This window comes from Homo sapiens, chromosome 17 (genome assembly GCF_000001405.40).
Source record: "Homo sapiens chromosome 17, GRCh38.p14 Primary Assembly".
Taxonomy (NCBI): Eukaryota; Metazoa; Chordata; class Mammalia; order Primates; family Hominidae; genus Homo; species Homo sapiens.
Genome location: NC_000017.11, coordinates 22,682,947 through 22,706,211, shown reverse-complemented (window position 1 = coordinate 22,706,211; position 23,265 = coordinate 22,682,947). Strand labels below are relative to the sequence as shown.

Below are 23,265 nucleotides of genomic sequence, written 5' to 3'. Positions count from 1 at the left end.
AATTATCATATCAGGCTTCACGCAATGCTTACAAAGCACTAAAAGTATACTTTTGGACCTAAAAGTATATTTTACAGTTTTGTATAAAAAAAGAAATATAAGATTGACACACAGGTGTATTGAAGTCTGAGTAGTAATGAGTCTTTTAGCTTTTCTCTTTTTGAAGGGAGAATATTTTTGTAACAATGCCCTTGAGTTCTTCTTACAAATCACGACAGGGAAAGATATCTTTTATTACAATACAAGAGCAAGCTATAAGCAGCACACCACCACAGTGGCTAGCCCTGGACAGGATGGTGTAATATCCAACAGTGACTGCCATCCTACAGAGGAAAGACTGGTAAGGCCAGATGAAAGCCTGACATAGGTAAAAATGCAGCTTTCAACTGTAATTCACAAATAAAAGTCCCAAGCAGTAAAACTACTGACACCAAGAGTGAAAGTCATTACAAACGGGATTCCAGCAGTGATTTCAACCTAGCTCCCTTTTGTCACAGTTTCTAGAAGAGGTGGGACATGAGTAGGTGAGTATGCAGGAAGGTTGATGGAGCAGCTCATGTGCCTTCCACTAGGCTGAATGGCCCATTACTCTGGGTGCTGGACACGATGGCTGTCCCGCCAGCAGAGCGCTCTGCTTCAGCTGCAGCCTCTGCCATCTGTGCTTCCTTGAGTTATCCTTCTAAAAGCAAATTTTTGAACTTTCCAGGCTTCGATTCTATTTGTTACTGTTCTTCTCTCTTTCTAGAAGCAGACAGCAGTACCGAATGCTTACCAGGGCCATTGCTTGAAGGTCTTCTCTCTGGATCTGGAGGAATCATAACTTTTATCAACTCTGTAAACTTTTGGGAAAGCCCTTGTGGTATCAGGGTAACCTGGCCTGTGTGAATTCATGCACTGGTCTCTATTTCTGGGAAGAGGTTCAGCAGCAGGAACACATCTCTTTGGGTAGATGGGTATAATTCTCCTGTAAAACTTCATTTGCAGGAAAACACCTATCACCCTCTTCAAACTGTGGACTAGAGATGCTTGTTACAAGTCCAAGATCACCTGTGTTTAACATAATTTGGTTGGATCCCCAGTCATCTTCCTCTTCTTCAGAGGCAGCATCTGGTATTGAGACTCGAGAAGTAAAAACAGTACTAGATTTTATATCCCTGTGAACCAAAGACATTGAATGAATATAGGTCAAACCCCAGCTACCTTGCAAAAGGAGACCCTTCAACTCTGCTTCTTTGAAGTAACTCATGATTCTGCAGTTTTCACTGCAGCATAGCTAAACTTCCACTATGACAGTATTCATCCTGAGTAAGCATAGCACCATCTTCTGCCCAGGCAGAGAAACACGGAACTGCATGAGGAAGACGTCCAGGCACTGCAGTAGAGCCTGTGCTCCTCTCAGAGCGCTTTGCTCACTGTAGAATTGGCCTAAGGCTTTTCTGATCACCTAATGCGGTGCATGCATCCATCCTGCCTCTTCACACAGTAAACACAGAACCAAAACCTCCAGAGCAATTATCTGCAGCTCCTGAAACTGCTGTGCGCCTTAACCTCGCTTTGCTCTCAGTCACTGCAGTTCTCTCAGCAGGCCACGTTTCATCTCCCAGCTCCTGAGCACTGGCTTCCATGTCTTCATCACAAGAATCACCCCCATGACCCCAACAGAATCCGGAGTGAAAGGATCCGAATTCACTTGGAGTCTGTTGCACATCCAATTCCCCTTTTCCTGACTTTTCTGTATCACGAAGAAGAACCGTCCCGGAGTTTAACAGAGCTGGGATTAATTCCTCCAGTTCTGGAGAGGAAAACCGGGAGTGCAAGTGGCAGGTGGCAGAGCCGAAGCTTGCAGGAGGTCCACTAGGGAGCCCGGATCCCTCAGCGCCCAGCACAGCCCTCCCCGCCTGGGGCCCCTACAGTCCCGCGAAGCCTCCCCCAGGCGCCCCCAGAACTCGCCAGAACCAGTGGCCCAGGAAGCAGGTGCCGCTGGCCACCAGGAGCCCAAGCACCCTCCCCTCACCGGTCGCACTGGGACCCGCTGCCAGGCCGGTCAGCGCTGGGCAGGACCCCAGCAGCTCCTCAGGCTCCAGCTCCTGGGGCTGCTGAGCCTGAAGTACAAGGTTCCGCTCACTCCGCCCCCCGAAAAGGAGACGAAGAGCCGCAGAGACCTCAGCCAGTCTGGTGCTAGAGCCTGGGCTGCCAGAATGCAGCTCTGTGTTGCGGCCAGCGGCAGCCTCGCGCGCCCCCTTCTGGCCGCGGTCAGAATCTGTCACAGCCTGTGGGAGGGGGTGCTTCAGACCAGCAAGGGGAGGGCTGGGGGTGCCACCCCCATTCATAGACCAGGAATCAAAGCCCTCGGGTGGCAGGGTCTGGTCAAGATTCTCCCAAACTGAGCGGGGACGGAGACCAACTCAACCCCAGCCGCACTGTATGCAGTGTAGGCAGATCAGGACTTCAGCCACTCCTGAGACTCCCCCCTTGCCTCGCCGGTACATGCCCAGCCCACCTTTCCCTTCCTCTCCAGTATTCACACCCCGCGCTCTGAGTCGCTTATTTCTTTTAAACAAATAGGAGTTATAGCGGGTAACACTTCAGTAACAAGAAACTAGCAGGTGCTCAGTAAAATGGTCTACACTGGCCTCTTCCACAGTCAAGGTGAGCATTAACAGGAAAATGAATCCACTTTCCAGGAAGTGGACAGTCACCGGAAGCCCCTCCGCCTCCCTCTGGCTTTGCCTTCCCCCAGCACCAACTGGGGCACGGAAAGGGTGTGGGCGAAGACCCCGTCACCTCCCAGCAGAGGGCGCACTGCCCGCGGTTTTCAGGATCCTGGGCCTGGTGCCCTCCGCATAGGACCCTCAGACGTGGGGAGGAGAAAGAGCACACCCATTTAACAGGTGCAGAGACTGAGGTCCGTCGGGGAGGGGTGAGCGGCCTAGGGCGGCCAGACCTGTGAACAGTAGAGCAAGGAGTCCAACAGGCCCCCAGCCAGTCAAAGGGTGAGCCCCTGTTGTGTGGGGATCACTGAGGTGCAGGCATTCTGATAACCACCAGCATGAGGAACTCATGGCGCTCCATCCTGAATTCTGGGGCGCTTTCTGGGACACAATACAGTAAAGGCTGTGCAACATGTGTGAGGTCCAGCATGTGCACGAAGCAAAGAGGGATAGATAGGTGTGGGAGTACAGGGACAGAATCACAGTTGGGACCCTTGAGAAGGCAGTTGGAGTTTTTCTGCCAGGGCAGGAGAAGTCTTCTGGGCACCCAGACTGGCACGTGCAAAGGCATAGAGGCAAGCTTCCCCTGACACACGGCTGGAGGGGAAGCTCTAAGTGCTGCGCACAGGCTGTTCACACTGCATCCTTCTCCCTGGACTTGCTCCCCCCACAGCACCTCCATCCTTCCAGTTAGCTATCCAGACCACCCCCCTCACCCTCTCACACCCACATCCTGTGGGCCCCACATTTGAGAAACAAGAATTCAGTTGCTTCTCACCCCCCCACCCCATGGCTGCTCATCACCTGGTCTGAGTCCCCATCCCCTCTCTCCCCATACTTGGTCTCTGCTTCCATCCTTGACTCCTGACGTCTAATTGCAACTCAATACTAGGTCAGATCATGTCACACTTCTGCTCTGGTGCAAGAATTATGTGGTTCCTTCAGTTCAGTGTCCACCAGGATTTGATATTCCCAAGGTATGTCTCTCACTCCTTTGTTCTCATTTTACCTTTACACAGGAAGACACTTTTTCTTCTTGAAGTGTACTCTTATGTAGCTACTCTTGGTAATGAAATCTCTGTGTTATTACTTTTGAAGTTATTTTAATACTCCTTACCAAGAAAGATAGTTAGCTATATATTCAATGCTAGCTTGAATAATATTTTTTCTAAGCATGCTATTTGACTTCTTAAAATTTAAGATGACATTGGATGATTTTTATTACATACAGCATGATGTTTTGAACATTCCACATATAGATTGTTGAATGGTTAAATCTAAATCTAGCTAATAACAGAGGCATTATTTAACATAGTTATCATTTTCATTGTGAGAACACATCCACTATCGTTGCAATTTTCTAGAATGCAATATATCACCAGTAACTGTAGCCACTTTGCTATACGATAGATTTCTTGAAATTTACTTTATCTATCTAATTTTAATTACGTGACCTCTGACCAACATCTCCCCATCCTGTTCCCCTCTCTAACCACTCCAGCCTCTGGTAACCACCATTCTGCTCTCTACTTCTATGAGACCAACTTGTTTAGATCCCTCATATGCATGAAATAATGCAGCATTTTTCTTTCTGTGCCTGGCTTATTTCACTTAATATATCCTCCAGGATCATCCATGTTGACAGTAACGACAGCATTTTATTCTGTTGTATGACTAAGTATCATTCCATTGTATGTGTTTATGTATGTACATACATGTATGTATACAAGCATATGTAGACATACCATTCTTCAAATATATTATTTTGCATTTATTTTCATTAAAATATATCTCCCTTATCTAAATACTGATAAAAATTTGAGGTCTTTTCAGGCCTTCCTTTTAATAAAAGCCAAAGTTAAAGGGCAGTTTCCCCATTTTTTAATGATTCTTTTTTCTTGCCGATTTTTTTGAGTTCCCTGCAGAGTCTGCATATTACTGCTTAATCGTAAGTATAGTTTGGAATTTATTTCACATTCTATATAATGTCTGTTTCCTCTGTGATTTATTGTGAGTTTTTTATTAGGTTTCTCTTCTAGAATTTTACTGTCTCAGGTCTTAGATTTAGTCTCTAATCTACCAGGAGTTAATCTTTGGATATGGTGAGTTTCATTCTTCTACATGTGGCCACCCAATTTTCCAGCACCATTTATTATGTATGTGTTTGTTTTTGTCTGATTTGTCAAAGGTTGTTATTGTTTGGCTATATATCTAGATTCCCCATTCTGTACCATTGAACTATGTGTTTATTTTTATACCAGCAAAATGCTGTTTTTGTTACTGTATCCTTGCAGTATAAATTGAAGTCAAAGGAGAGATAAAGGAATGTTTTTGTCTTTCCTTTATTTTGAAGGAGAGTTTTAGCAAATATAAGTGTTCTTAATTAGAATTTTTTCTTTCAATACTTTGAATATGTTATCCCACTCTGCCCTGTCCTGAGAGCTTTCTTTCCAAATATTTTAGAATTTATTCATTCTACTGTTGACAAACATTTGGATACATTCCCTGTTTTAGCCATTATAAAGAAAGGTGCCATGATTATAAGGATACATTTCTGTGGTATATATATTTACAGGAACATTGCTTAGTCACAGGGAGAGCATCTGTTTGGCTTAAATAAATACTAAAATACAGTTTTTCTAAATGATTGCAGACATTCACTATGTTTTGAGCATGCTCCAATTGTCCCACACATTCTTCCATAGCATAATTTGAAATAATTTTATTGAGGTTCAATTTACATTCTTTAAAATTCATCAATTATAAATGAATAATTTGTAAAATTTTATACATTTTCATTTCAAAATGCATGTGACTGTATAATCACTACCACAAACATGTTGTAGAACATTCCCATGACCATGAAAAGCTCAATCTGGTCCTTTTCATTAAATTCTCTCCTTATACATGATGCCCATGACAAAACTATTATATTTTAGCTACTGTATTTGCCTTTTGAAAAATTTCACATAATTGCGATTTTAACATTTATGTAGTCTTTAGTGTCTTCTGTTAATTCATAATAATTCCTTTGAAATCATCCAAGTTGTACATATCATTAATTTCTTACTTGTTATTGCTGAGAAATAGTCCATCATATGGGCACGCCGCAATGTGTTTACCCATCAGCAGCTAATGGACCTTGCCCATTAATGTTTGTCAGGTCATTTGCCTTCTTTTAACGGAGCTGTATGATTTATGTATATACAAATCTGAACACCAACATTTATTAAATATATGTATTTCAATATTTCTCTCAGGCTATGGTTGTCAATTTATTTTTAACAGTGTCTCATGAAGACTCAATTTATACATTTTATTTTATGTTTTCTGCATGTGTAGGCTATCTAAGAAACCATTTCCTATCCCAGGGTCACAATAAATTTCTCCTATGCTTTATTCATACAAAATATATACTTTTATCTATTACACTTACATCTCAAATTCATTTGAAGTTAATTTTTCAGATGTACTTTGATTAATCAATGTTCACATATTTACATATGGGTATTCAACTTCTCCGAGAATATTTATGTAAATTTCTATTCTTCCCTTTGAATTGCCTTCATGCATTCCTTAATAAAAAATTATATATGTGTGTAAATATATACATCTATATACACACATATATGTGTGTGTTTATATGTGTGTGTATATATATATAATCTGAGCTTCCTATATCATTACAATTATTTATAATTATTTCCTCAAGTAACAACACACTGTTGTGAATACTGTAGCTTTATAGTATTTATTTCAGATATGTCTCTAAATGTGACTGTTTTTCATTATTGTTTTCACTAATTTAGATTATTTATATTTTCAAAGTACTTTAAGAATTGGTTTATCAAATTTTACAAAGCCCTTTGTTGAAATTTTACTGAATTGTGTTGATGCTGCGTATTAATTTGGGGAAAATTTACATATTAATTATATTGAATATTCTGACATGTGAACATGATAGCTCTATTTATGTAGGTATTCTTTAATTTTCCTCGGTATTTCCTTCAGGTTTTTCAGGGTAAGGTTTGATTTTCACTGCCAGTCTATAAAAATACACATTGACTTTTTTACACATTTGGCTTATATACTGTGGCTTCACTCAACTCATCTGTTAGTTTTAGTAATGATTTCTAGACATGTTTGTATTTTCCTATTTTACAAATTACTGAGAGATTGAGAGATGGAAGTGGTTGGATGTAGAGGGAGTCTGGTAAGATGGTGGAATAGTAGGTTCCCAGCCCTGTTTCCCTCAAAGAGACATCTATTTGGCAACTACCCACAGGAAAGAATGCTTTTGTGAGAACTCCAAATACCACTGTGAGATTGCAAAACCCAAAAAGAGCTCAAAAGCAAAGACAGACTCATTAAAAAGGATAAGAGGAATGATTTTACTTTGTTTGCTTTACCACTTCCATATCCAGAACAATACTGTGCTGAGAAGTATACCCTCAGCCCATTATTTTTCCAGTGGGAGAAAAGTAGATCAAAGTGGATATTCAATGTCTATCTGGGGAGTGCTGCCTGATGGACAAACTTCTGCTTTGCCTCAAAACAAACGCTGGAAGAATTTTAATACTTAGACCACATGAAGATAACTAGCACCAAAGAAATGGGGTGAAACACTCAGTGACTGGTACATGCAAATCTCAATGTGCCCCACAGTGCTTCAAGTGGCCTCACCCAACAAAGCTACCAAATCAGAGGGATTAAAACCAGCAGACATTTCTGACCCTGAAGCACCGCCAGTCAGCCAAATCCATCAACAGGCTCAACCACCTGACCGAACAAGAACACCAGGCCACACTTAATGGTGAAGAACTTTTCCTGCTGAAGCCAACCTGTAAAGACTAGAAAAAGTGACCACCTTCTCAAAAATATGTATACCAGCACAAGGCCACAATAATCATGAAGAATCAGGAAAATATCACACAATTTAAGTAAAGCAAAAAAGCTTCAATAGCAGACCCCAAAGAAATAGGAATTGACAATGTGCTTTTAAAAATTGGAAGTAATTATTTTAGATACTAAGCTCAGTGAACTATATGGGAACAAGTATAGACAACTAAACAAAATTAGGAAAGCAATACATAAAGAAAATCAGAAGTTACAGTAATAAATAGAAGCGATAAAAATAAACACAGAAATGTTAATGCTGAAGAATATAATGACTAAACTGAAAAATTTAATAGAGAGTTTTAACAGCAGGTTCAGTCATGAAGAGGAAATGGCAAAGTGGGAAACAGCTATCTTGAAATTATCCTGACAGAGGTGCAAAAAACAAAAAAAAAAATAGCAAAAGATAAAGAGTAAAAAAAATCTATGAGACTTATGAAACATCATCAAATAAAGCAATATATGCGTTATGTGGATACAAGAAGGTGAAATAGAGGAAAGAATAGAAAGCTTATTTTGAGAAATACTGACTGAGAATTTGCTGAATTTGAGGTGGGAGGTGGACATCCAGAATCATGAAGTTCAAGAGTCCTTAAGTAGATTGAACATGAAGAACCTTACACCAAGACATATTTTAATAAAGTTGTCAAAAGTCAAAGAGAAAAAGTGAATTTTAAAAGCAGCAAGAGAAAATCTACTCATCACATAACTATCAGCGCAATTCTCAAATTCTTCTTTCAGGCCAGGGCCAAAGGGGATAACATATTCAAAGTATTGAAAGAAAAAATTCTAATTAAGAACACTTATATTTGCTAAAACTCTCCTTCAAAATAAAGGAAAGACAACAACTTTCCTTTGTCTTTCCTTTGACTTCAATTTATTCTACAAGGATACAGTAACCAAAACAGCATTGTGCTGGTATAAAAATAAACACATACAACAATGTAACAGAATAGAGAATCTAACAAATACAGCCAAACAATAACAACCTTTGACAAATTAGACAAAAACATACACATACATAATAAAAGGTGCTGGGAAAATTGGGTGGCCAGATGTAGAAGAATGAAACTGTGTTTGTATCTCTCACCATATCCAAACATGAACTCCAGGTGGATTAGAGACTTAAATCTAAGACCTGAAACCATAACAATTCTAGAAGAAAAGCCTAGTAAAAACTCTTCCAGACGTTGGCCTAGATAAATAATTTATGACAAATACCCCAAAAGCAAATGCAACAAAAACAAAAATAAATAAATGGGACCGAATTAAACTAATAAAAAGTTTTGGCAAAGAAAACAAATAAACCACAGAGGAAACAGACATTATACAGAAAGGAAAAAAAAAATCCAAACCATGCTTACGATTAAGCAGTAATATGCAGAATGTGCAGGGAACTCAAAAAAATCAGCAAGAAATAGAATCTTATTAAAAAACAGGGAAACAGACCTTTAACTTTGGCTTTTATTAAGAGGAAGGACTGAAAATACCTCATATTTTTATCAGCATTTAGATAAGGGAGAAATATACTTTTAATAAAAATAAATGCAAAATAATATATTTGAAGAATGGTATATCTACATATGCTTGTATACATACATTTATGTATGTATTACATAAACAGATACAATGGAATGATATTTAGTTAGTCATACAACAGAATAAAATGCTGTCATTACTGTCAACATGGATGATCCTGGAGGACAGTATATTAAGTGAAATAATCCAAGTGCAGAAAGAAAAATACTGCATTATCTCATTCATATGAGGGATCTAAACTAGTTGGTCTCATAGAAGTAGAGAGCAGAATGGCGATGAGCAGAGGCTGGAGTGGTTAGAGAGGGGAACAGGATGGGGAGATGTTGGTCAGAGGGCACATAATTAAAACTGGATAGAAAAAAACAAATTTCAATAATTCTATTGTATAGCAAGGTGGCTACAGTTACTGATGATATATTGCATTCTAGAAAATTGCAACGATAGTGGATGATAAGTGTTCTCACAACAAAAATGATAACGATCTTAGATAATGCATTTGTTAATAGTTAGATTTAACCATTCAACAATCTATATGTGGAATGTTCAAAACATCATGATGTACATAATAAAATCATCTAATGTCATCTTAAATTTTAAAAAGTCAAAACGCATGCTTAGAAAAATTATTATTCAAGCTAGCATTGAATATATAGCTAAATATCTTTAGGGCATAAAGACAATTAAAATAATTTCAAAAGTAATAACAGAGATTTCATCGCCAAGAGTAGCTACATAACAGCACACTTCAAGAAGAAAAAGTGTTTTCCTGTGTGAAGGTAAAATGAGAACAAAGGAGTGAGAGATGTGCCTTGGGAATATCAAATCCTGGTGGACACTGAACTGAAGGAACCACATAATTCTTGCACCAGAGCAGAAGTGTGACATGATCTGACCTAGTATTGAGTTGCAATTAGACGTCAGGAGTCAAGGATGGAAGCAGAGACCAAGTATGGGGAGAGAGAGGATGGGGACTCAGACCAGGTGATGAGCACCCATGGAGGGTGAGAAGCAACTGAATTCTTGTCTCTCAAATGTGGGGCCCACAGGATGTGGGTGTGAGAGGGTGAGGGTGGTGGCCTGGATAGCTAACTGGAAGGATGGAGGTGCTGTGGGGGGAGCAAGTCCAGGGAGAAGGATGCAGTGTGAACAGCCTGTGCGCAGCACTTAGAGCTTCCCCTCCAGCCGTGTGTCAGGGGGAGCTTGCCTCTACGCCTTTGCACATGCCAGCCTGGGTGCCCAGAGGGTTTCTCCTGCTCTGGCAGAAAAATTCCAACTGCCTTCTCAAGGGTCCCAACTGTGATTCTGTCCCTGTACTACCACCCCAATCTATCCCTGTTTGCTTCGTGCACATGCTGGACCTCACACATGTTACACAACCTTTACCATATTGTATCCTAGAAAGCGCCCCAGAATTCAGGATGGAGCACCATGAGTTCCTCAAGCCGGTGGTTATCAGAATGCCTGCACCTCAGTGATCCCCACACAACAGGGGCTCACCCAGTGACTGGCTGGGGACCTGCTGGAATCCTAGCTCTACTGTTCACAGGTCTGGCTGCCCTGGGCCGCTCACCCCTGCCCCACGGACCTCAGTCTCTGCACCTGTCAAATGAGTGTGCTCTTTCTCCTCTCCACCTCTGAGGGTCCTGTGAGGATGGCTCCACGCCCAGGATCCCGAAAACCGCGGGCAGCACGCCCCCTGCTGGGAGGTGACAGGGTCTTCGCCCACACCCTTTCTGGGCCCCAGTTTGCTCTGCGGGAAGGCCAAGCCGGAGGGAGGCGGAGGGGCTGCCGGCGACTCTCCACTTCCAATGAGCATTTTCCTGTTAATGCTCACTTGACTGTGGAAGAGGCCAGGGTAGACCATTTTACTGAGCACCTGCTAGTTTCTTGTTACTGATGTGTTACTCGCTATCACCACTATTTGTTTCAGAGAGGAAGCGACTCAGAGGGAGGGATGTGGGGTCCTGGCGAGGAAGGGAAAGGTGGGCCGGGCATGTACGGGTGAGGCAAGGGGGGGCTCAGGAATGGCTAAAGTCCAGATCTGTCTACACTGCATACACTGCAGCTGGGGGTGAGTTGGTCTCTGTCCCCACTCAGTTTGGAAGAATTTTGACCAGACTCTTCCAGCCCAGGGCTCTGATTCCTGGTCTATGAATGGGAGTGGCACCTCCAGCCCGCCCCTTGCGGGGCTGAGGCGCCTGCGCCCATGGGATGTGACAGCTTCTGGCCGCGGCCACTAGGGGGCGCATGCGGCTCCCGCCTGCCGGAAGGCGGAGAGGCATTCTGACAGCCCAGGCCTCCAGCACCAGACAAGCTGAGGTCCTTGTGGGTCTCCGTCTCCTTTTCTGGGGGTGAGCGGAACCTTGCCCGCCAGGCCCAGCAGCCCCTGGAGCTGGAGCCTGAGGAGCTTCTGGGGCCCTGCCCTGCGCTGACCGGCCTGGCAGCGGGTCTCTGTGTGACTGGTGCGGGGAGGGTACTTGGGCTCCTGGTGGCCAGCGGCACCTGCTTCCTGGGCTACTGGTTCTGGCGAGTGCTGGGGGCACTGGGGGGAGGCTTCGCAGGACTGTGGGGGCCCGGGCGGGGAGGGCCCTGCTGGGCGCTGAGGGATCCCGGGGGTCCCAGTGGATCTCCTGCAAGCTTCGCCTCTGCCACCCGCCACTTGCACTCCCGGTTTTTCTCTCCAGAGCTGGAAGAATTGATCCCAGCCCTGTTAAACTCTGGGACCGTTCTTCTTCGTGATACAGAAAAATCAGGAAATGGGAATTGGATGTGCAACAGACTTCAAGTGAATTCGGATCCTTTCACTCCGGATTCTTTCACTCCGGATTCTGTTGGGGGTATGGGGATGATTGTTGTAGTGAAGACATGGAAGCCAGTGCTCAGGAGCTGGGAGATGAAACGTGGCCTGCTGAGAGAACTGCAGTGACTGAGAGCAAAGCGAGGTTAAGGCGCACAGCAGTTTCAGGAGCTGCAGAAAGTTGCTCTGGAGGTTTTGGTTCTGTGTTTACTGTGTGAAGAGGCAGCATGGGTGCATGCACCACATTAGGTGATCAGGAAAGCCTTAAGCCGACTCTGCAGTGAGCAAAGAACTCTGAGAGGAGCACAGGCTCTACTGCAGTGCCTGGACGGCTTCCTCATGCAGTTCCGTATTTCTCTGTCTGGGCAGAAGATGGTCCTATGCTTACACAGGATGAATATTGTCATGGTGGAAATTTAGCTGATACTGAAGTGAATGAAAACTGCAGAATCATAAATTACTTTAAAGAAGCAGAGTTGAAGGCTCTCCTTTTGCAAGGTAGCCAGGGCTTGAGGTATATTCATTCAATGTCTTTGGGTCACAGGGATACAAAATCTAGTATTACTTTTACATCTCGAATCTCAATCCCAAATACTGCCTGTGAACAAGACGGAGATGACTGGGGAGCCAACATAAATATGTTAAACACAGGTGATCTTGGACATGTAAGAAGGATCTTTATTCCACAGGTGGAAAAGGGTGATAGTGGTTTTCTTGCAAATGAAGCTTTACGGGAGGATTATATCCATCTACCCAAAGTGATACTTTTTCACTTGCCCTCACAGTGGTATGTGCTGCTGGTGCTGAAGCTCTTCCCAGAAATGGAGACTAGTGCATGAATTCACAAAGGCCAGGTTACCTTGCTAGCACAAGTGCTTTCCCGAGAGTTTACAGAGTTGATAAATATTATGATTCTTCCGGATCCAGAGAGAAGATCTTCATCCCGGGCCTCGCAGGGACTCCTGTTCTCAGCACGGCTCTCTGAGAAGGCAGGAACCAAGACAAAGGCAACTCCAAGGTGGAGCAGTGTTCTCACACTTCGAACTGGCCTCTCACGGGTTCAGATAAGGTTGAGAGAGTGTCTCAGAGGCCCACTGGGGCAATTGCAAGCCTGAAAAGGGTGTCCACAAGTTCTGTTCATTGGCACTGTGGAACCCCCATAAAATCAAAGAAAAATCAAGGCCCGCCTGGGAGAACGAGCGGACTTGTGCTTGACTCCAAGCCACGTTCAAGGATTCCAGCTAGAGGACCCAGATGCCTCCCGCAAACTGCAAACCACCCCAGACCCCTCAAGGAGACCACTAGGCATGCTTGGCGCATCCTGCAGTTCCTTTTGGATCCTTAGAAATTACGCGATTTATACCTGAAGCTTCACTAGATGTTTCTTTAGGCTTGCTTCCCCCTGCCAGTTCCTAGAATCGGGGGACTATCCCGTGGATCCCCCAGAGAGCACAGGCGAGAGTCCAACACCAATGCATGTCCACAGAGGTCTCCTCCACCAAGCCGCAGGGAGTTGTCTCCAGGCAACGGTGGCCACTGTGACGCGAGCCATTGCTCACCACTGGCGCCTGGTGCCTAGAGACTGACGCATTCGCATTCGTGAAGCAGTCTTGGGCGCCGGGTTGTCAGTGCTGTCAGCCTACCTAAGCAGAGGAAAATGGTGCAGGCAGAGCGCACCTGGTCTCGGGAAAATGCTGCCCGCGACAACCCACTGCGGGACCCTAAATGTCTCGACAATAAGGCCTCCTCGGCACGTCTCTGAGGTCGGGTCCCGCTGGAGGAGGAGGCGTTTCGAAACTGTGAGGTGGGTGCTGGAAATTGCTCTTCTGACTCTGTTCCAGAAAGAGGCTGTGTGCAAGAATCCGGTCGCATGGGAATGAAAATACAGTCCGGTGAGTTGTTGACGGGTGTCCACGTGATGGAATCATACCTGAGACCCCAGAGGCGGGGGTCAGTGGAAGATGGCCGGGCCCTTGAGCTCACTACGTCCCTTCATTCTGGGCCTTGCAGGGGCTCCTGCTTCTCAGCAGGGCACTCTAGAAGGCAGGAACCATGACAAAGGCAAGTCCGAGGTGAGGCAGTGTTCTCAAACCTCGAACTAGCATCTCACGGGTGCAGATGACGTTGAGAGGGTGTCTCAGAGGCCGTTTAGGGCAATTGCAAGCCTGAAAATGGTGTCTAGGAGTGCTGTTGAGGGGCACTGTGGACCCACCATGAAAGCAAAGAAAAATCAACGCTTGCCTGGGAGAACAAGCGGATTTGTGCTGGAGTCCAAGCCATGTTCAAGGATTCCTGTCAGAAGACCCAAAAGTCTCCTGCAAAGTGCAAACTAACCCAACCCCCTCAATGAGATCGCTATCCACAACTTGGAGCGCAGCCAGCCTACCTGAAATCCCTTTTGCTCTCTGAAATCCGTGACAGACAAAAGATCCCCAGTGAGAGGCAGTCCCACCCAGCAACAGCCCAGTGAAAGACCCCCTCTACAATGAGAGAGGATGGGCAGATGAAAGGAAACAGCCTAGATTACCAGGTAAAAGCCAGACATGGCTGCCTGTTTCTCATCCTACAGGAATCATGCAGCCCTCCGATAGAAGCTGGGAGAACAAGAGTTTCCTTGCTGGGGGATAAGGTGAAAATTCTTTAGGGTGTGTGGATTTGTTATACAGAGTTAAACGCTTGTTTTGATTCAGAAGGATGGATACACTCTTTTTGTACAATCAATGAAGGGACATTTAAAATTCTTTGAGGCCTATAGTGTAACACCGAATATCCCGTGATAAAAACTACAAAGAAGCCATCACTGAAAATGCTTTCCGATTTGTGGTTTCATTTCACAGTGTTAAACCTTTCTTGTGATTCAGCTGTTTGGAAGCACTCTTTTTCTAGAATCTACCAGGGTGATTCAGAAGCCAATTGAGACTATAGTGGAAAACAAATTATCCTGCGATAAAAACTAGAAACAAACTATCAGTGAGATGCTTTGTGATATCTGGATTAATCACACAAAGCTAAATCTTTGTTTTGATTCAGCAGCCTGTAAACACTTTTTTTTTTGTAGAACCTATGAAGGGACGTTTCAAAGCCCATTGGTGCCTATAGAGAAAAGCAGAATATCCCACAATAAAAACTTAATGAAAGCTATCTGTCAAATGGCTTTACTGCATGTTGATTTATCTCACAGAGTTAAAACCTTGTTTTGATTCAGCTATTTGGAAGCACATTTTTTGTAGATTCTAAGAAGGGACATTTCAAAACACATTGAGGTCTATAGTGAAAAACTGAATATCCTGCAATAAAAACTACAAACAAGCTATCCATGAAAATGCTTTGGGATGTGTAAAATTATGTCACACAGTCAAACATTTGTTTCAATTCAGCAGTTTGGAAACACTCTTTCTGTAGAATCTACAAGGGGACACTTTGGAGCCCATGGAGGCCTAGAGTGAAAAACAGAATATCTGGTGGTAAAAACTAGAAGCAAGCTATCTGTGAAAATGCTTTACGATATGTGGGCTAATCTCACAGAGTGAAATCTTTCTTTTGCTTCAATAAGTTGGAAACACTCCTTTTTTACAATCTACAAAAGAAAATTTTGGAGCCCATTGAGTTCTATAGTGAAAAACCAAATATTCCCAGTACAAACTAGAAACAAGCTATCAGTGAAAATGCTTTGTGATGTGTGGATTCATCTCAGAGAGTTAAAGTTTTTTTTGTTTGTTTGTTTGTTTTGATTTAGCACGTTGGAAACACTCTTTTTGTAGAATCAATGAAGGGACATTTTGAAGCCCATTGAGGCATTCAGTGAAAAACTCTATATCCCGCCATGCATGGTGGCTCATGCCTGTAATCCCAGCACTTTGGGAGGCCTAGGAGGGCGGATCACCTGAGGTTGGGAGTTCAAGACCACCCTGACCAATGTGGAAAAACCCCATCTCTGCTAAAAATACAAAATTAGCCGGGTGTGGTGGCACATGCCTGTAATCCCAGCTACTCGGGAGGCTGAGGCAGGAGAATGGCTTGAACTGGGGAGGAGGAGCTTGCAGTGAGCCAGAGATAGCACCATTGCACACCAGCCTGGGCAACAAGAGCAAAACTCCGTCCCCTGAAAAAAAAAAGAAAAAGAAAAAGAAAAACTATATATCCCACGATAGAACCTAGAAAAAACCTATCAATCAGTGAAAAGCTTTGTAATGTGTGGATTTATCTCATAGAGTTAAACCTTTGTTTTGTTTCAACAGGTTGAAAACACTTTAATTGTAGAATCTACAAAGGGCCTTTTCAAAGCCCATTGAGGCCTATAGTGAAAAATCGATTATCCCATGATAAAAACTAGAAAAAAAGCTATCTGTGAAAATGCTTTGCAATGTGTGTATTTATCTCACAGAGTGAAACCTTTGTTTCCATTTAGCAGGTTGGAAACATGTTTTTCATAGAATCTAATAAAATACTTTTTGAAGCCCAATGAGGCCTATAGTGAAAAACCAAATATCCCACGATAAAAAGTACAAACAAGCTTCCTGTGAAAATGCTTTGTGATGTGCGGATTCACCTCACAGGGTTAAACCTTTGTTTTAATTCAGCACTTCATAAACAGTCTTTTTGTAGAATCAACAAAGGGACACTTCAGAGCCCATTGAGGCCTATAGTGAAAAACTGAATATTTGCAGCAAAAACTAGAAGCAAGTTTTCTGTGAAAATGCTTTGTAATGTGAGATGCATCTTACAGAGTTGGAAACACTTTTTTTCGTAGAATCTAGGAGAAAACATTTCAGAGCCCATTGAGGCCTACAGTAAAATACAGAATATCCGACGATAAAAATTACAAGCAAACTATCTGTGAAAAGGCTTTGTGATGTTAGGATTTATCTGACAGAACTAAACCTTTGCTTTGATTCCACAAGTGGATACACTTTGTACAATCTGTGAAGGTACATTTCTGAGCCCATTGAGGCCTATAGTGAAAAAATGAATGTTCGTCGATAAAAACTAAAAAGAAACTATGTCTGAAAATGCTTTGCAATGTATGATTTCATCTCACAGAGTTAAAACTTTGTATTTATTCAGCCAATTATGAACACTTGTTTTATAGGTTATATGAAGGGACATTTAACAGCCATTGACACCTATAGTAATGAACCAAATATTTCATGATAGAAGCAATAAAAAATCTAACTCTGAAAATGCATTGCCATGTGTGGATTCACCTTACAAAGTTAAACCTTTGTTTTGATTCAGCAGGTTGGAAACAATGTATTTGTAGAATCTAAGAAGGGACATTTTGGAGCCCATTTAGACTTAGGGTGAAAAACAAAATATCCTGTAATAAAAACTAGAAGCAAGGCACCTGTGAAAATGCTTAGTGATGTGTGGATTTAGCTCACAGAGTTAAACCTTTTTTCTGATTTAGCAGAGTGGAAACCATGTTTCTGTAGAGTCAACGAAGAAACATTTTGGAGCCCATTGAGGCCTACAGTGAGAAACCAAGTATAAATATATATAATATATATAATAAAAAGTAGAAACAAGCTCTCTGTGAAAATGCTTTGAGATGTGTAGATTCATCTCATAGAGTTAAGCCTTTGTTTTGATTCAGGAAATTTGAAACACTCTTTTTGTAAAATCTACAAATGGGCATTTCTGAGCCCTTTGAGGTCTATAGTAAAAAAACGAATATCCCTCAATAAAAACTAGAATCCAGCTATCTGTGAAAATGCTTGGCAATGTCTGGAATTCATTTCACAGAGTTTAACATTTACTATGATTCCACAGGTTGGAAACACACTTTTCGTAGAAACAAAGAAAAGACATTTCAAACCTCTGAGGCCTACAGTAAGAAACCGAAGTAAACTATCTGTGAAAATGCTTTGTGATGTGTGGATTCAATTTCACAGAGTTAAACCTTTGTTTTAATTCAGCAGTTTGCAGAGTCTACAAAGTAATATTTTGGAGTCCATTGCAGCCTATATGGAAAAACCAAATATCCCATGGCAAAAACTGGAGGCAGGCTATCTGTAAAAATGCTTTGCAATGTGTTTATTCATCTCACAGAGTTAAACCTTTCTTCTGATTCAGCAGGTTTAAAACACTTTTTATGTAGAATCTACGAAGAAACATTTCAGGGCCCATTGAGGCCTATAGTGAAAACCCCAATATCCCACAATAAAAACTAAAAGCAACCTAGCTGTGAATATGCTTTGCAATGTGTGGATTTATCTCACAGAATTAAACCTTTGTTTTGATTCAGCAGATTGGATACACTCTTTTTGTACAATCTACAAAATGACATTTCAAAGCCCATTGAGACTAACAGTGAAAATTTGAATTTCCCATGATAAAAACTACAAAGTAGCTGTTTCTGAAAATTATTTGCAAAGTGTGATTTCATCTCACAGAGTTACACTTTCTTGTGATTCAGCAGGTTGATGAACAACTGATTATCCCACGATAAACACCAGAAACAAGCTATCAGTAAAAATTCTTTGCAATGTGTGAATTCATCTAACAGAGTTAATCCTTTGTCTTGATTCAGCAGGTTGGAAACTCTCTTTTTGTAAAATCTACAAAGTAACATTTTGAAGCCCATTGAGGCCCATAGTGAAATACCAAATATACTGCAATAAAAAGTAAAAACGAGCTATCTTTTTAAATGTTTTGCAATGTGTGGATTTATCTCACAGAATTAAACCTTGTATTTATTTAGCAGGTTAAAGACACTTTTTTATAGAATATACAAAAGGACATTTCACACCCATTGATGCCTATAGTAAAAAAATGAATATTTTGTGATAAAAACAATAAAAAATCTATCTCTGAAAATGCTTTGTGATGTCTGGATCCATCTCAAAGAATTAAACCTTTGTTTTGATTAAGCATGTTGGAAACACTGTCTTTGGAGGATCTAAGAAGGGACATTTCAGAGCCCATTAGGGCCATTAGTGAAAAACTGAATATCCCATGATAAAAGCTAGAAACAAGCTATCTGTGAAAATGCTTTTTAATGTTTGGATTCTTCTGATAGAGATAAACCTTTATTTTTATTCAGCACATTGGATGCAGTCCTTTTGTACCATCTAGGTGGGGACGTTTCAGAGGCCATTGAGGCCTACAGTGAAAATCCAAATATCCCAACAAAAAAACTAGAAACAATCTATCTGTAAAAATTCTTTGCCATGTGTATATTCATCTCACAGAGTTAATCCTTTATCATGATTCAGAAAATTGGAAACACTCTTTTTATAGACTCTATGAGGGGACATTTTGGAGAAAATTGAGATATATAGTGAAAAACCAAATGTCGTGTGACAAAAACTAGAAACAAGCTATCTGCGAAAATGCTTTGCAATGTGAGGATTCATCTCACAGAGTTAAACCTTTGTTTTGATTTAGCAGGCCAGAATCACACTTTTTGTAGAATCTACGAAGGGAAATTTTGTAGCCAATTGAGGCCTACAGTGAAAAACTGAATATCCTGTGATAAAACTAGAAACAAGCTATCGGTGAAAATGATATGTGATGGGTGTATTCATCTCTCAGAGTTAAACATTTGTTTTGATTGAGCAGATTAAAGACTCTTTTTGTAGAATCTACAAAGGGACATTTTGGAGCTCACGGACCAGCACAGCGAAAAGCCAAATATCCCATGACATAAAATAGAAAAAAGCTATCTGCAAAAATACTTTGCAGCATGTGGATTCATCTCACAGAGTTAAACCTTTGTTTTGATTGTGGAAATGCTTTGTGATGTATGGAAATGCTTTGTGATGTATGGATTCATATCACAGATTAAAACCTTTGTTTTGATTTAGCATGTTGAAAACACTTTTTGTGCAATCTACAAGGGGACATTTTGGAGCCTATTGAGGTCTATAGTGAAAAACCAAATTTCCCATGATAAAAACTAGGAACAAGTTATTTGTGAAAATGCTTTGCAATATGTGGATGTATCTCACATGTATGAACTTTTGTTTTCATTCAGCCAGTTGGAAATATTCTTTTTGTAGACTCTATGAAGGGACATTTTGGAGACCACAAAGGCCACTAGTGAAAAACCGAATATCACTTGACAAAAACTAGAAAAGTTATCTGTGAAAATGCTTTGTGATGTGTCAATTCATCTCATGGAGTTAAAACTTTGTTTTGATTCAGCAGGTTGGAAACACTGTTTTTGTAGAATCTAAGAGGACACATTTCAGAGAACGTTGAGGCCTACATTTAAAAACCTTATATCTCGAGATAAAAACCAGAAACCAGCCATATAAGAGAATGCTTTGTGATGTGTGGATTCAACTCACAGAGTTAAGCATTCATTTTGATTCAGCATGTTGAAAACACTCTTTTTGTAGAATCTACTAAGGGACATTTCAGAGCCCATGAAGAAGTGTATGAAAAAACAGAATGTCCTGTGATGATAACTAGAAAAAGCTGTCTGTGAAAATTCTTTGCAATGTATGGATTCATCTGTCAGAGTTAAACCTTTGTTTTGATTCAAGAGGCCAAAATAATTCCTTTTGTAGAGTCTACAAATGGATATTTTGGAGCCCACTGTGGCCTGTGGTGAAAAACTGAATATCCCACGACAAAAATTAGAACCAAGCTATCTGTGAAAATGCTTTACAACGTGTCATTTCATTTTACAGAGTTAAACCTTTGTTTTTATTCAGCAGGTTGAAAGAACTCTTTTTGTAGAATCTATGAGGGGACATTTCAGAGCTTATTGAGGTCTATAGTGAGAAACAAAATATCCTGCATTAAATACTAGAAATAAGATATAAGTGAAAATGCTTTGCAATGTTTGGATTCATCTCACAGAATTAAACCTTTGCTTTGATTAAGCAGGTTTAAAGCACTCTTTTTGTAGAATATAAGAGGGGACATTTTGAAGCCCATTGAGGCCTGTAGTCAAAAACTGATTATCCTGAAATAAAGCTAGAAACAAGCTACCAATTAAAATACTTTGCGATGTGTGCATTTCTCTCACAGTGTTAAACCTTTGTTTGGATTCAGCCAGTTGAAAACACTCTTTTTGTAGAATCTACAAAGGTACATTTTGGAGCCCATTGAGGCCTATATTAAAAAATTAAATATCCCATGATAAAACCTAGAAACAACCTATTTGTAAAAGTGTCTTGCAATGTTTGGAATGATCTCTTAGAATTAAACCTTTGTTTTGATTCAGCAGTCTGGAAACACTCTTTTTGTAGAATCTACATAGGGATTTTTTGGAGCTCAATGAGACCTTTAATGAAAAACAGAATATCACACAATAAAAACTAGAAATACTCTATCTGTGAAAAAGATTTTTGATGTGTGGATACATCTCACAGAGTTAAACCTTTTTTTTTTTTAATCGAGCAAGTTGGAAACATTTTGTAGAATCTACAAAGGGACATTTAGGAGCCTATTGAGGCTTATGGTGAAAAACCAAATATCCCGTGATAAAAACTAGAAACAAGCTATCTGTGAAAATGTTTGCAATGTGTGGATTTATTTCACAGAGCTAAACCTATATTTATATACAGCAGGTTGGAAACACTCTTCTGGTAGAATCTAAAAGAAGACATTTCTGAGCTTTTTGTGGCCTGTAGTAAAAAACTGACTATCCCCCTATAAAAACAAACAATTTGTGAAAACGCTTTAGATGTATGGATTCATCTCACATAGTTAAAACCTTGTTTTGATTCAGCAGGTTGTAAACACTCTGTAGAATCTAAAAAGGGAAATTTCAGAGCCCATTAGGCCTATAGTGAAAAACTGAATATCATGTGATAAAAACTAGATAAAAAACTACCTTTGAACATGTTTTGTGATGTGTGGATTTATCTCACAGAGGTAAACCTCTGTTTATGTTCAGCAGGTTAAAAACCCTCATTTTGCAGAATCTACAAAGGGACATTTTGGAGCCCTTTGAGGCCTATAGTGAAAAACAGAATATCCCGTGATAAAAACTAGAAGCGAGCTATATCTGAAAATGCTTTGTGATGTGTAGATTCATCATACAGAGTTAAAACTTTATTTTTATACAGCATTTTGGAAACACTCTTTTAGTAGAATCTAAGAGGGGTCAATTCTGAGCCCAGTGAGGTCTATAGAAAAAAACGAATATTTCACGATAAAATCTTGAAAGAAGCTATCTGTGAAAAGGCTTCCTGATATATGGATTTGCCCCAAAGAGTTAAACTTTTGTTTTGATTCAGCAGGTTAGAAGTATTCTTTTTGTAGAATCTTTGAGAGTCATTTCTGAGCCCACTGAGGCCTACAGTAAAAAGTTGGAAACTGTTTTTGCACAATCGATGAAGAGACATTTCAAGGAACATTGAGGCTTATAGCGACAAACCAAATATCCTGCAATAAATCTTTATAAAGCTGTCTCTGAAAATGCTTTGCGATGTGTGATTTAGTCTCACAGAATTAAACTTTTTTTTTTGGTTCAGTAGGTTGGAAACCCTCTTTTTGTAGAATATTTGATAGGATATTTCAGAGTAAATTGAAGCCTACAGTGAAAAACCAAATATCCAGCAATAAAAACTAGAAACAAGCTATCTGTAAAATATGCTTTGCAATATGTAGATTCATCTTACAAAGTTAAGCCTTTGTTTTGCTTCAGCATCTTGGAAACTCGATGTTTGTATAATCTAATCTACGAGGGGATAATTCGAAGCCCATATTGGCCTGAGTGAAAAAACAATATCCTGCAATAAAAACTAGAAACAATCTATCTGTGAAAACGCTTTGCAATGTGTGGATTCATCTCAAAAAGTTAAACGTTGTTTTGATTCAGCAGGTTAAAAACACTCTTTTTATAAAATCTACAGAGGGACATTTCAAAGCCCATTGAGGCTTTAGTGAAAAACACAATATCCTGTGATAAAAACTAGAAACAAGCTATCTGTGAATATTCTTTGTGATATGTTGATTTATTGCACAGAAGTAAACTTGGTTTTTATAGTGCAATTTGGAAACACTCTTTTAGTAGAATCTAAAAGAAGAAATTTCTGAGCCCTTTTAGGCCTATAATAAAAAACCAAATATCCCACAATAAAAACTAGAAACAAGCTATCTATGAAAATGCTTTGCAATGTGTAAATTCATCACAGAGAGTAAAACCTTAGTTTTGATTCAGAAGGATGGAAATACTTTTTTTGTAGAATCTATGAAGGGACATTTTGGAGCCCACTGAGGCCTATAGTGAAAAATCAAATATTTTATGATGAAAACTAGAAACAAGGTATCTGTGAAAATGCTTTGTGTGTGTAGATTTATCTCACAGAGGAAAACTTTTGTTTATATACAGCACATTGCAAACACTGTTTCTGTAAAATTTAA

At 40.6% G+C, this 23,265-nt stretch overlaps 1 long non-coding RNA gene and 2 pseudogenes across 1 annotated transcript; 1 reads left to right on the top strand and 2 right to left on the bottom strand.

Annotated features, from left to right (window-relative positions):
* On the bottom strand, positions 576–2,093 carry WEE1P2 (WEE1 pseudogene 2; annotated as a pseudogene).
* On the top strand, positions 11,819–12,884 carry LOC100533640 (WEE1 homolog (S. pombe) pseudogene; annotated as a pseudogene).
* On the bottom strand, positions 12,599–13,464 carry LOC124904098 (uncharacterized). The gene is made up of 2 exons (XR_007065974.1): positions 13,307–13,464; positions 12,599–13,054 (listed from the first exon to the last, which is right to left on the bottom strand). It is a non-coding gene; the product is annotated as an uncharacterized LOC124904098 (long non-coding RNA).
* Between the last annotated feature and the right edge of the window lie 9,801 nt (positions 13,465–23,265).